This window comes from Homo sapiens, chromosome 2, assembly GCF_000001405.40.
Source record: "Homo sapiens chromosome 2, GRCh38.p14 Primary Assembly".
NCBI lineage: Eukaryota > Metazoa > Chordata > Mammalia > Primates > Hominidae > Homo > Homo sapiens.
The window spans coordinates 82,877,155-82,892,403 of NC_000002.12; the positions used below are offsets into that span (position 1 = coordinate 82,877,155).

Sequence of the window (15,249 nt, forward strand, 5' to 3'; positions counted from 1 at the left end):
ATAATAAAAAGAAATGAACAAAACCTCCGAGAATTATGGGATTATGTAAAAAGACCGAACCTATGACTGATTGGGGTAACTTAAAGAGATGGGGAGAAAGGAACCAAGTTGGAAAACATGCATCAGGATATTATCCAGGAGAATTCCCCCAACCTAGCAAGACAGGCCAACATTCAAACTCAGGAAATCCAGAGAACCCAAGTAAGATACTCCATGAGAAGATCAACCCCAAGACACATAATCTTCAGATTCTCCAAAGTCAAAATAAAGAAAAAATGTTAAAGGCAGCCAGAGACAAAGGCTAGGTAACCTACAAAGGAAAGACCATCAGAATAAAAGCAAAACTCTCAGCAGAAACCCTACAAGCCAGAAGAGATTGAGAGCCATATTGAACAATCTTAAAGAAAAGATTTTCCAACTTAGAGTTTCATATCTGGGTAAACTAAGCTTCATAAATGAAGGAGAAATAAAATCCTTTTTAGAAAATCAAATGCTGAGGGAATTCATCTCCACTAGGCCTGTGTTGCAAGAGATCCTGAAGGAAGCACTAAATATGGAAAGAAAAATAACATTACCAGCCACTAAAAAAGCATACTGAAGTACACAGATCAGTGACATTATGAATTAACTACATAAACAAATCTGCAAAATAACCAGCCAGCATTATAATGACAGGATTAACCTTAAATATCAATGGGCTAAATGCCCCAATTAAAAGATACAGAATGACAAGCTGGATAAAGAGTCAAGACCCGTTGATATATTGTATTCAAGAATTGGCCCATCTCACATGCAAAGACACACATAGACTCAAAATAAAGCCATGATGGTGGAAATTTTACCAGGCAATTGGAAAGCAGAAAAGAGATGGGGTTGCAATCCTAGTTCCTGAAAAAACAGACATTAAACAAACAAAGATCACAAAAGACAAAGAAGGGCATTACATAATGGTAAAGAGTTCAATTCAACAAGAAGAACTAACTAAATATATATGCATTTAACACAGGAGCACCCAGATTCATAAAGCAAATTCTTAGAGACCTACGAAGAGACTTTGACTCCCATACAATAATAGTGGGACACTTTAGCACCCCACTGACAATATTAGACAGATCATTGAGACAGAAAAGTAACAAAGACAATAATAGTGGGAGTCTTTACCACCCCACTGACAGTATTAGACAGATCACTGAGGCAGAAAATTAACAAAGATATTCAGGACTTGAACTGAACTCTAGATCAAGTGGACCTGATAGATCACTACAGAACTCTTTATCTAAAGACAACAGAATATGCATTCTTCTTATAACCATGTGACTCTCTAAAATTGGTCACATAATTGGAAGTAAAACACTCCTCAGCAAATGCAAAAGAAGTGAAATCATAACCAAGAGTAGCTCAGACTACAGCACAATCAAATTAGAACTCAAGATTAAGAAACTCACTCAAAACCACAGAACTACATGGAAATGGAACAACATGCTCTTCTATGACTCCTGGGTAAATAATGAAATTAAGGAACCAATCAAGAAGTTATTTGAAACTAATAAGAACAGAAAAACAATGTACCAGAATATCTGTGATGCAGCTAAAGCAGTGTTAAGAGGGAAATTTACAGCACTAAATGTCTACATTGAAAAGCTAGAAAGATCTCAAGTTGACAACCTAACATCACAACTATAAGAACTGGAGAATCAAGAGCAAACAAACCCCAAAGCTAGCATAAGACATGAAATAACCAAGATCAGAGTGGAAGTGAAGCAGACAGAGACATGAAAAACCCTTCAAAAAATGAATGAATAAAGAAGCTTTTTTTTGAAAAATACTAATAAAAGAACACTGGCTGAACTAATAAAGGAGAAAAGAGAGAAGAATCAAATAGACACAATCAGAAACGATAAGGGGGATATCACCAGTGACCCCACAGGAATACAGTCAATGCTCAGAGAATACTGTAATAACCTCTATGCAAACAAACCAGAAAATCTAGAAGAAAGTGATAAATTTCTGGAGGCATTACACTCCACCAAGACTAAACCAGGAAGAAACTGAATCCCTAAATCAGTCAATAATAAGTTCTGAAATTGAGGCAGTAATAAATAGCCTACTAGCTCAAAAGCCCAGAAACAGACATATTTACAGCTGACTTCTACCAGAGGTACAAAGAGGAACTGGTAGCATTTCTCCTGAAACTATTGCAAACAACTGAAAAGGAGGGACTCTCCCGTAACTCATTTTATGAGGCCAGCATCATCCTGATGCCAAAACCTGGCAGAGATACAACAACAACAACAACAAAAACTTCATTCAGGCCAACATCCCTGATGAGCATCAATGCAAAAATCCTCAATAAAACACTGGCAAATCAAATGTAGCAGCACATCAAAAAGCTTATCCACCATGATCAAGTCAGCTTCATCCCCAGGATGCAAGATTGGTTCAACATATGGAAATCAATAAATGTAGTTCATTACATAGACAGAACTAAAGCAAAAACCACATGGTTATCTTAGTAGATACAGAAAAGCCTTCAATAAAATTCAACATCGCTTCATGTTACAAACTTTTAAGAAACTAGGTATTGAAGGAACATGCCTCAAAATAGTAACAGCCATATATGAAAAAAAACACAACCAATATCATACTGAATGGGCAAAAGCTGGAAGCATTCCCCTTGAAAACTGGCACAAGAAAAATCTGCCTTCTGTCACCACTCCATTCAACATAGTACTGGAAGTTCTGGCCAGGGCAATGAGGCAAGAGAAAGAAATAAAGCATGTTCAAATAGGAAGAGAGGAAGTCAAATTATCTTTGTTTGCAGATGACATCATCTTATATCTAGAAAACCCAATTGTCTTAGCCTGTAAACTCCTTAAACGGATAAGCAACTTCAACAAAGTCTCCGGATACAAAGTCAATGTGCAAATATCACTAGCATTCCTATGTATGTATTAACAACAGTCCAGCTGAGTGGCAAATCATGAATGAGCTCCCACTCACAATTACTATGAAGAGAATAAAACACCTAGAAATATAGCTGAAAAGGGAAACAAAGGACCTCTTCAAGGAGAACTACAAACCACTGCTCAAGGAAATCAGAGAGGACACAAACAAATGGAAACACTTTCCATGCTCATGGACAGGAAGAATCCATACTGTAAAAATGGATGTATTGCCCAAGGTAATTTATAGATTCAATGCTATTCCCATTAAACTAACATTGACGTTCTTCACACAATTAGAAAAAAAAAACATGTTAAAATTCATACGTAATCAAAAAAGAACCTGTATAGCCAAGACAATCCTAAGCAAAAAGAACAAAGCTGGAGACATCACGCTACACAACTTCAAACTATACTACTAGGCTACAGTAAACAAAACAGCATTGTACTGGTAGAAAAACAGACAAATAGACGAATCGAACATAATAGATAACTCAGAAATAAGACTGAACACCTACACCCATCTGATCTTTGACAAACCTGACAAAAACAAGCAATGGGAAAAGGATTCTCTATTTAATAAATGGGTCTAGGAGAACTGACTAGCCATATGCAGAAAATTGAAACTGGACCCCTTCCTTACACCTTATACAAAAATTAACTCAAGATGGATTAAAGATTTCAATGTAAAACCCCAAACCATAAAAACCCTAGAAGAAAACCTAAGCAGCACCATTTAGGACATAAGCACAGCCAAAGATTTTGTGACAAAACACCAAAAGCAATTGCAACAAAAGCAAAGATTGACAAATGAGATCTAATTAAACTAAAGAGCTTCTTCACAGCACAAAAAACTACCATCAGAGTAAAAAAACAACCTACAGAATGGGAGAAAATTTTTTCAATCTAACCATCTGACAAAGGCCTAGTATCCAGAATCTACAAGGAACTTAAAGAAATTTACCAGAAAAGAAAAAAAAAATTAAAAAGTGGGTAAAGGACATGAACAGGCAGACACTTCTCAAAAGAAGACATTCATATGGCCAACAAACACATCAGAAAAAGCTCAACATCACTGATAATTAGAGAAACGCAAATCAAAACCACGAATGATATACCATCTCACACCAGTCAGAATGGTGATTATTAAAAAGTAAAGAAACAACAGATGCTTGCAAGGTTGCAGAGAAAAAAGGAACACTTTTATCCTGTTGGTTGGTTTAACCATTGTGGAAGACGGTGTGGCAATTCCTCAAAAATCTAGACCAGAAATACCATTTGACCCAGCAATCTCATTACCCAAAGGAATCAAAATCATTCTATTATAAAGATGTACATTCATTGCAACACTATTCACAATAGCAAAGACATGGAATCAACCCAAATGACCATCCATGATAGACTGGATAAAGAAAATATGGTACATATGCACCATGGAATACTAGGCAGCTACAAAAAGGAATGAGATCATGTTTTTGCAGGGACATGGATGGAGCTGGAAGTCGTTATCCTCAGCAAACTAATGCAAGAATAGAAAACCAAACACAGCATGTTCTCACTTATAAGTGGGAGCTGAAGGATAAGAACATATGAACACTTGTCGGGGGAACAATACACATTGGGGCCAGTTGGGGAGGGCATGCAGGGAAAGTGTCTAGAAGAATAGTTAATGGCTGCTGGGCTTTACCTAGGCGATGGGTTGATCTGTGCGCAAACCACCCTGACACATGTTTACCTGTGTAACAAACCTGCACATCCTGCACATGTACCCCAGAACTTAAAATAAAAGTTGAAAAAATAAATAAATAAATAAAATAAAATTTAATGATCTCAAAATAAAGAATAAAAACATAAATAAGATTTAAAATTTTTTTACAAGTAGATGACACATTTATTAGGTAACAATGACCTGAAACTCATAATTGTAATATTTATTATTATGATAAAAAATTGGTTAATACTGATGAATCAATAAACTTCAGATATCTATCAATAATATTAATAAAATATTTAATTTTATTTTATTACACAGCTATTAAGTGTAACAGGAATCTCAAAAAATTTTATCTTCAGAAACTTTTTGATTCCTCATTGTGTTTTGAGTCCTAAAATTAAAGCTTAATATTATGTGCTGTCAAGTAAAATTGGTAAAACAGAGAGCTTCAAATGGCCTGGCCACAAATTCCCCTCTCCACTCTGCTTCCTTGGGCAAGATCTCCCGCCAAAAAGCCCTCTTTATCAAAGGGACCAGGCACAGTTCCTGATTATTCCTGAGTAGCAGGTGTCAGTTTTTTGCCAGCCCACAGAATTATGCAAACTAACCTATTATATCCTCCCATGGGAACTAAATAACACCTCACCTTCTTGATACTGCAAATCTGCCTTCCCAAACTCCAGCTTCACTCTGTTTCCAAAATGCAACCTTCATGTTTTCCTGTGTGGCATTTGGTGTTGTCTTGCCCCAGGCTGTGTGTGTGAGAAATAAATTGCTGTCATTCTCATTTGTCCAGCATCAGGTGCAATGTGTTGGGCTATCTCCATAGCCTTCAGGTAGAAATCCATACCTCACGAACAGAGTGAAGAAGTGACTAAAATACTAATAGTAAGACAAACATTATAGTCTGGCTGTGGCTCAATGAAAGCAAGGGTAGATAAGGTCCACCTCAGGTATAGACAAGGAAAAAGTACATTGTTAGGGAATTTAAAAACAATGATAAAACTAAAAACTGGCTTCTTTTTAATTATCATCATGTACTGGTAGTGTTGGTGTTAAAACTATCCTTTTCGATGAGGTGGAACATCCTCTCCCAAATCCCCATCTATCATTGTGTACAGGAATAGCTAATGCATTACATGTTTATCATCTGATCACATGAGATCTGCAGTAAAGGAAAAAGAATCATAGCAGAATGTGACAATGTTTGAAAATTTGTGTCTAGCCAAAAACTTGAAAATCTTACAGCCTGTAGACAGCATATTGGTATCTATAAATATGCCATATGCCACTTTGTGTATGATAAGCATTAAGTGTGTTTAAGTGAAGATTATACTGTAGGTGACAAACTGAGTGTTACCAAAGCAAAGAACAAGCTCTGTGGCACATGTTACCAATGATGTCCTCAAAAAGTTTGGAACAAACAGTTATATTCAAGGACCATACGGTAAACAATCAACCAGTGAAAATCAACAGATAAGCCACTCACCAAATTTGATAGTTAATATACCTAAAATAAAAAGCCTCACAAATGCCTTTAAAAGAAAAAACAGAAAGATTTGCATTTCTCCAGATGCTGGTGAGGCTGTGGAGAAATAGGAATGCTTTTCCACTGTTGGTGGCAGTGTAAATTAGTTCAACCATTGTGGAAGACAGTGTGGCGATTCCTCAAGGATCTAGAACCAGAAATACCATTTGACCCAGCAATCCCATTACTGGGTATATACCCAAAGGATTATAAATCATTACACTATAAAGTCATATGCACACTTATATTTATTGCAGCACTATTCACAATAGCAAAGACTTGGAACCAACCCGAAAGCCCATCAATGATAGACTGGATAAAGAAAATGTGACACATATACACCATGGAATACTATGCAACCATAGAAAAGAATGAGTTCACGTCCTTTGCAGGGACATGGATGAAGCTGGAAACCATCATCCTCATCAAACTAACACAGGAACAGAAAACCAAACACTGCATGTTCTCATTCATAAGTGGGAGTTGAGCAATGAGAACACATGGCCACAGGAGGGGAACATCACACACTGGAGGCTGTTGGGAGGTGGGGCAAAGGGGAGGGAGAGCATTAGAACAAATATCTGATGCACCAGGGGCTTAAAACCTAGATGACAGGTTGAAAGGTGCAGCATACCACCATGGCACATGTAGACCTATGTAACAAACCTGCACATTCTGCACATGTATCCCACAACTTAAGGTAAAAATTTTTAAAAAGTTGTAGTAATATTATAATGAAAACTAGCCTGAACTTGCCAAGTAAATGAATAAAATAGATCTAATTCTTCAAAAAAAAAAAAGAAACAGAAAGATGTGGTATTTTATGACATATTTATGGTAAAATGTAGAATGTTATTAGCATATTACATAAGGGAAATAATCCCTATGTATGTACCCAAAACAGTCAAGATTGTTAAGAAATAAAATAAACAAAAAATATCCTACAAAATACTGTGGGGATATGGGAAGAGGGAAGATAGGACACTGTATAATTATTTTGGATTCTCTGGAAAGCAATAATAAGTTAATAGTCCTTAAATTTCTAAAGTATAGTGACTTATAACAGGGACTTTAATGACTATTGCTATATAAAAGTAAAGAGAGAAACCAGGCTTAGGTTAGACATCTATGATGCTGTTATAACTGAAAGATAAAGAGAGCATAGCGCTCTCCAAATAGAGCAGAAATAAAATGAAGAGGAAAATCTGAAGCTCATTTTGGTTATAATTTTGATTGAACCAGGTGACAATTCAGAAGAAGGTTTGAGAAACAGGGTAAATATATTTTGTTTTATTATAAACAGTAAGGAATATCAACTGTTTTGAAATGTTCTGTTAAACAACAGAAAAACATGAGACAATGACAGAGGAGAGAGATTATTAGTATAACAATCGAGATCTTGTACTTTCATCTTGTATATTTAAGGAATTTTAGAAACAGAATGATAAAACTCTAAAAACAAGAAATTATGGCTCTGTTCAATTTTATGGGAAAAAACAAATCCAAAATGTGGTAGCCTATGTCAGTTATTAAGGACCAGGTATAAACCAGCTCTGCAAAATTTGTTTAACTGCCAGGTTGCACATCTGAATGTTATTGCCATTTTTTACATGGGTCAAATTAACTTAAATTCGTCGGCAAATAGTGTAATAAGAATGACATTTCCAATTGGTTTTCCATATTTTAAATAAACTGAAATGGGAAGCTAAAAATTTATACCTGGCAACTTTTGCAACAAGGAGTGTGTTTGCTGGGAGGAGATGCAGCAATTGAGGCAGAAATAGAAGAGACATTTTGGCTAAGACACAGCATAGAGTAGATGTCTCTATGCCTTTGAAATGGTAGAAGAATAAAATAATATGAGGAAATATGTCTTTCCCTAAGACATTCTAGTGACATATGGTGAAGATAAATAATAGAATATTGAATGAATGAGTCAATTAATAAATGGTTGTCCATTCTGAAATTGATTGAAATAAGGTTCTCACAAGAATCATTAGATCAATAGATTGTATAGCTCCATTTAATTAATTAACTAGATGTCATAAAGAGAAGGAGGGGAATTGGAACATCTCTTTAAGTACAGTGACTCACTATTAAAATGATTATTCACTTCTACAAGTTTTTCTTGAGCTCCATCTGAGTGCCAGAGCTGTTTTAACACTATTTGCATATGGAAGGAAATTATGTACTATGCCCTCTGAAACCCACTCAGAGTGTTCAGAAGTTTTGATCACTGAATATTCACTCAGTCTCATTTGGGGATGGGGGAGGAAGGCACATAGTTAGTTCAGGGAATGTCTTAAATTCACCACAAACTAGAGGCAGCACAATCGGGGATGAAAGAATGGTTATCATTTAACTAAGACTGAGAGGACGACGACGGAAGAAAGGTGGTTCCTTTACATAGAGAAGTTTCCAGGTGGTTCTTTCACTGAAAAACATTATTTTTTAAAGATGGCATATGAAAAGGGATAATATTGTGAAACAACAGAACATTTGAAGGCAGTATCACAGTGGAAGTAACATTATACACTTTCCTATTCACCCAGGTCTAGCAATAATTATTAATTATTGATAACAGTTTTAACAAAAATGATAAAATTATATGTGAATTTCTGCCTATGACTATGTGTTTCTGGTTTCCTTTGAAACATTCTCTCATATATGAATTGTTTTGGCACATTAGATATTACTTGCAGAAAACTGAGTTCAATTACTTTTTTAAAAAATTTAAGTACTTTAACTTTTGCTTTTGAGTTTAATATAGAATAATAGAACCTGAAGAGTCACCATGATTGTTATTCTATTTGAGATTATATTAGCAAGTCATGGAAGCATAGAATGATATTAAATGTGACAGTACTTATAAAGTTAGGGTGGTCCTATTATCAAGATAAGTCTCAATATTTGATGCAAAATGTGCACCTGATGGTTGGAAGAGATTGCTAGATTATTATCATTGTCTTTGTGTTTCTCTGTCACAGCAGGCAAGAATTTAGACTCTTAAGGAAGGATGTCCCTGTAAATAGAAATGAATATATCTTTGTCAACATAGCCAATATCAGAGGTATCACCCACAGAATGATAGTTAGCTTTTTCATTTTGAAAATAAATAAAAATAGATATACACATATAGATGTAGACATAGATATGGTTAGAATTTGTGTCTCCCACCCAAATCTCATCTTGAATTGTAATCCCCATAATTTCCATGTGTTGAGAGACCTGCTGGGAGGTGATTAGATCATGGGGGCAGTGTCTCCCATGCTGTTCTCATGATAGTGAGTTCTCATGAGATCTGATGGTTTTATAAGTGTCTGACATTTCCTCCTTCACGCACTTGCTCTCTCTCCCACCACTGTGTAAGACGTGCCTACTTTCTCTACTGCCGTGACTGTAAGTTACTTGAAGCTGCCTTCGCAGCCATGTGGAACTGTGAGTCAATTAACCTCTTTCCTTTATAAATTACTCAGTCTCTGGTAGTCTCTCTATAGTGTGAGAACAAACTGATATATACATACATACGTGTATGTATATATTATACATACATACGTGTATGTATAATATATACATACACGTATGTATGTATAATATATACATACACGTATGTATGTATAATATATACATACACGTATGTATGCATTATATATACATACACGTATGTATGCATTATATATACATACACGTATGTATGCATTATATATACATACATGTATGTATGCATTATATATACATACACGCATGTATGCATAATATATACATACATGCATGTATGCATAATATATACATGCATATGCATGTATGCATAATATATACATGCATATGCATGTATGTATAATATATACATGCATATGCATGTATGTATAATATATACATGCATATATGTATATATAATATATATTTTAAAATAACAAGACACTTGAGGGGAATTTGAAGGGAGTACACACATAAACACACACACACATACACATACACACATATATACATACACACACATACACACACATATACACATACACACTTATCTATATGTACACATATACACACACATATACACATATATAGATGTGGTTTCTCTATTCATGTGTATATATGTGTGCTTGTATATTGGGTATGTATATATGTGTGTATGTGTATGTATGTGTGTGTATGTACTCCTTTACACACATACACACATATATACACATACACACAGATATAAACATAAGTGTATACGTTTGCGTGTGTATGTACTTGCTTCAAAAATGTTTTACACCCTCTTGAAAAGAGCCTAAAACTGGAGCCAGAAAATCAAGATTCTGGTTTTTTTCTCTGCCTACAAATGCTATTTGACTTTGAATAATATGCTTTATTCATCTGAGATTATAAGTATGAAAGTTGTTACAAAACATCAAAACTTCACCAGATATATTTAGGATCTTCTATCTCAAGTAAGGAGAGTATACTGCTCAATTAATTTACTCTGAAAATTTCAATAGGTAGGCCTGTATATCAATGTTTTCTATACTGCTATATTGTTATTGAGCCATTGATTATTTTAATTTATCAAAGAAGGGTAAACGCTATTGGTTCAATTCAACTTAATTCACCTTAGTTATAATTGTGAATCAATAATTAAAATTTCAAAATTTTATTATAAATAATGGATAACAAGGCCAGGCACACTGGCTCATGCCTGTAATGCCAGCAGTTTGAAAGGCCAAGGTGGGCGGCTCTCTTGAGGTCAAGAGTTCAAGACCAGCCCAACCAACATGGTGAAACTCCATCTCTACTAAAAATAGAAAAATTAGCTGGGCATGGTGGCGGTACCTGTAATCCCTGCTATTTGGTAGGCTGAGGCAGAATAATCACTTGAACCCAGAAGGTGGACGTTGCAGTGAATTGAGATCTTGCCACTGCCACTCCAGCCTGGATGACGGAGGAAAACTCCGTCTCAAAAAAAAAAAAAAAAAAAAAAAAGGATAATATAGGTTTATTGGATAAAATATTTAATGTTGAAATCCTTTATATAGCATTAAAGGTTTTTCAAACATGAGTAAAATATTAAGAAAGAATACCTGATATTTAATAATAAAACTGCAATTGCTAGCTATACGAATATTAACCAGCTTATGAAAGATCTTTTACCTTTAGTTTTTCCTTGCTTGAATTAGAGAAGAGAGAAAAACTGGAAGAATTGTCGCTTAAGTGTATTATAAGAAAGGGAAACAATTACTTTTCTCCCCACTTCCCATTAATATTCCTAATTCTCAATTATTTTTTTCAGTGTTAAAAAAATCTTAATTTCTAAATATAATATAAATTTACTAATTATAAGAACATTTAAAGAATTGACAAATTTACCTTTCTTCCTAAATATTCCATCTACCTAAACTTGTTAATTACATTTTAAATCTGCCATTGTTGAAATCTGTAATAGTTCACTTCTATGATTACATTTTTCACTGATTTTTAGTTTTATTTCTACATTTAACTGGTTTCAATACTCACCGCCGGTCCCTTTAACTTGGTTTCTCTATTCATTTCTCAACCATCGCCATCAGGGTTTGAACAAGAAGTTTGTTTTGTTTTATTTTTTTTCCCCAATGGCCTCATAGGTGTTGTAAGAAAGAGCATTCACCTTCTCCACATTGAAAATGTCAGTCTTTTACCTTTAGCTACAGATATAAATTTAGAAGGTATAATATTCTTAGTCAATATTTTTGTTAGCATTATGAAAAACATTGCAAAAATCTTTGGTCTTTGGATGTTGATACCGACAAAGCTGAAGCCAACCTTCTAATCCTCATTTTTATACAGTTGACCCAAGAAGAGATTGAAAAACAAATACCTAAAGGACTAAAAATAACGGCATCAATTAAGAACATTGTAAAAAATATGATGCCAAAAATGTACCAGATTTGTATCAGAAGATTTTTATGGTTGTATTATTAAATTATTCAAGAAAAATTACGGTTTTAGCTTTACCAAACATTACAAAAGATGATATAAATCTAAATACCCTTTTAGAAAAACTAGTTCCATTAAATTAAAAAATTACAAAGCTGAAAAAATTATAGACATCATTGAAAAATACCTAGCATAAAATATTGGTAAGTAAAATTCTATAGTATTTTTGAAGAATAATAAAGAACAAGTGAGGTTTATTGTAAAGGAGACTTAATTTCATGGAAGTTATTGTTCACAGTCTTATGATAAATTATTTTAACATGAATGATCAAAGTGTTAATATCTTTACTAATTAAAATTAATTAAAAAGATGACACATTAAATTTATGTGACATAGTTACTATTATATTTAAAAGAAAATTTGGATTTCCTCAGTTTAGGAAAAAATGCTGAAAGTTAACAGAATGATCAAGTTGTCATATTTTCAAAGAAAGTAATTACTAAAGACATATCCACAGTAAAAAAATGAGACTATAGAACCATATTTTAAAAATTGAAGCCTTTAAAAAATGTGCTTATGGCTGGGTGCGTTGTCTCACGCCTGCAATCCCAGCACTTTAGGATGCTGAGTTTGGCAGATCAGTTGAGTCCAGGAGTTTGTGACCAGCCTGGGCAACATAGTGAGACCTTGTCTGTACTAAAAATACAAAGCAATTAGACAGACATGGTGGCACAGGCATTTGGTCCCAGCTACTCAGAAGGCTGAGTTGGGAGGATCACTTGAGCCTGGGAGATGGAGGTTGCTGTGAGCCCAGATCAAGTCATTGCACTCCAGCCTGGATTGCAGAGTGAGACCCTGTCTCCAAAAAAAAAAAAAAAAAAAAGTGCTTATGAAGATTTCAGAAATGTAGTGTTAAGTGAAAGGAACATCACAGATCAATAAATACAGTCATAATATCACTATTATACCAAACAAAACAAACATGTAATGTACATATTTGTACATAAATGGGTGTTAGGGTGACTAAAGGAAGCACAGGCAACTGTGGAAAATTATTTTCTAATGAAAATGAAACGACAGTGCTATGTATGTTTATTTTAGTCTTTCAATATAATACTCTAGAAACTACTTAAACTCACGTCTTAACAAAACCTAAGTAGATCAATATAAAAAGGATTGTGAGATCAGTAAATATCCTTTACTGATATGAAAAAAATATATAATTTTAAACGCTGTTACTCACCAGTGAAAGCTTTGGTGGAGTAAGATGCTAGGTTGAAGATGTTTCTTTTTACTCTGTTTTTCTGTGTTTTATCACCTTGAAGCTTAGATATTGGCTTGGGAGGGGTCATTGGAGATAGATTGCTCTTACTTTGTACTAAAGTTTGCAATTAATGACATGAGATGCAATTATAAAAAATAAAAATTGATATATAATGAGTCAATTCAATGGAGAAAAATCTATTTTAAAATGTGTATAAACACATACACAGCTTTAGTCATATACATGTGTATATATTTGTCTCTATGCATATATCTAAATATACCATTATAGAGCATGAGACGATTGATATAAAATTTTCATTTCTCAACTTTTCTTATGATACTTTATAGCCTATATGTAAATTGTAAAAAAAAATTTAATTTGATCTAATAATCTTTGTATTTTGAAAACAATTGAGGGCAGCAAAACAGAATTTACATAATGTGATATTTCTTCACATTAAATAATTAGATCAAGGTAGAATTCATCAAAAACTGTGTATTGGGAGACTAAATGTAAGTTGTGTGCTACAGTATAAGGAGAAGGATAAAAATCAGCTTTTGGTGCATCTGTTTTAGGATTGTTCATACTTTATTTCATTTGCAAATTAATTTTAGTGGATAGAATAAATCTTATTATTATATTACTACAGTTTATTTCAACAACAATCTGAATTAGTTCTAAATAAAGCAAAAATTTGTAAATAAAAAATAAAAATTTGGTAAAGGCATAATTCAGTATATCAGATCCAGTGGAATGTTTATACCATCACTTTCTTCCTTTGTTATCTGTGCATTTTCCTTCCTTCCTTCCTTCTTTCCTTCCTTCCTTCCTCTCTCCTTTCCCTTTCCTTCCTTCCCTCCTTCCTTCCTTCCCTCGCTCTCTCCTTTCCCTTCCCTCCCGCCCTTTCTTTTCCCTCCCTCCCTCTCTTCCTTCCTTCCTTCCTTCCTTTTTTCCCTTATTTATTTTTATTTTCAGATAAAATTAAACTTCCAAAATATTTTCTAAAACTTGTAGTCTATTTATTATTGCAATTCTTTATTTAGCAAACCATAAAGCAGAACTGTTCACCATAATGATTTTTCTACTTTTATTCTTCCAAGGGGGAATTTGCCCTTTCCTGTGTTCCTTATTATAATATTCTCTGGCTTGAGTAAATGCACTGTTTTTTCTTTAAACTGAAATGGCAAGTTTGACCTACATCTGTTTTTTTAAATCAGAACTTGTTTAAACACATAAAAATACAAATTTCAATATAAATTATTATTATTTCTATTTTTTACATATACCCCCATTTAATTTATATACAAACAATACTACAGAATCAATAATTTTGAATTAGTGACATTCGTTTTCTATTTTAGTTGTGTTTAATGTTATTTAAATGGCAGTGACTTTTTTTGGGAGTTTGATGAGCCTCAAACTTGTGCCATGTGATGCTCTGCTTCTACTGTTTAGCTCTACAGGGTAATAAAAAACTTCAGTTTATGCTGTGCACCAGATTATCCTTTCATCTCCTTTCGATGTGAATGCATCATTTACATGTTAATGTTACATGTTAATGTTCCCTTCCTGATTACTCCTGACATCTTTATGATAAACTAAAAAAGGAAAAAGAATTGTACCACAGTTACCAAGTGGTCACCCAGATGATGATTCAAAATATGTTGAGAGTTTTATCATTCATAAAATTAATGTTATTTTAAATAAATTATTAGTATAATTGTTATTATTACTTTTTACTAATAGAAAAGACAGACTTCTAAGAATACATTTGTGACTTCCTTGATTAATTAAAAAATTAAAAAGAAAAACTAAAACGATAGAATTTTTAGGACTCAGACCATAGATGGACCTGGACTCTTTCACTTTCTAGTTGTACAGCTTTGTAAAAATTAGTTGATTTCT

General features: G+C 33.8%; 1 long non-coding RNA gene across 1 annotated transcript in view; it reads right to left on the bottom strand.

The window, feature by feature from the left end:
- Nucleotides 1–5,305: 5,305 nt before the first annotated feature.
- LOC105374832 (uncharacterized) overlaps nt 5,306–15,249 on the bottom strand; it is a 55,455-nt gene continuing 45,511 nt past the window's right edge. Inside the window, exon 3 of the long non-coding RNA XR_940305.2 lies at nt 5,306–5,408. This is a non-coding gene — a long non-coding RNA (uncharacterized LOC105374832). The remainder of the gene's footprint in view (nt 5,409–15,249) is intronic.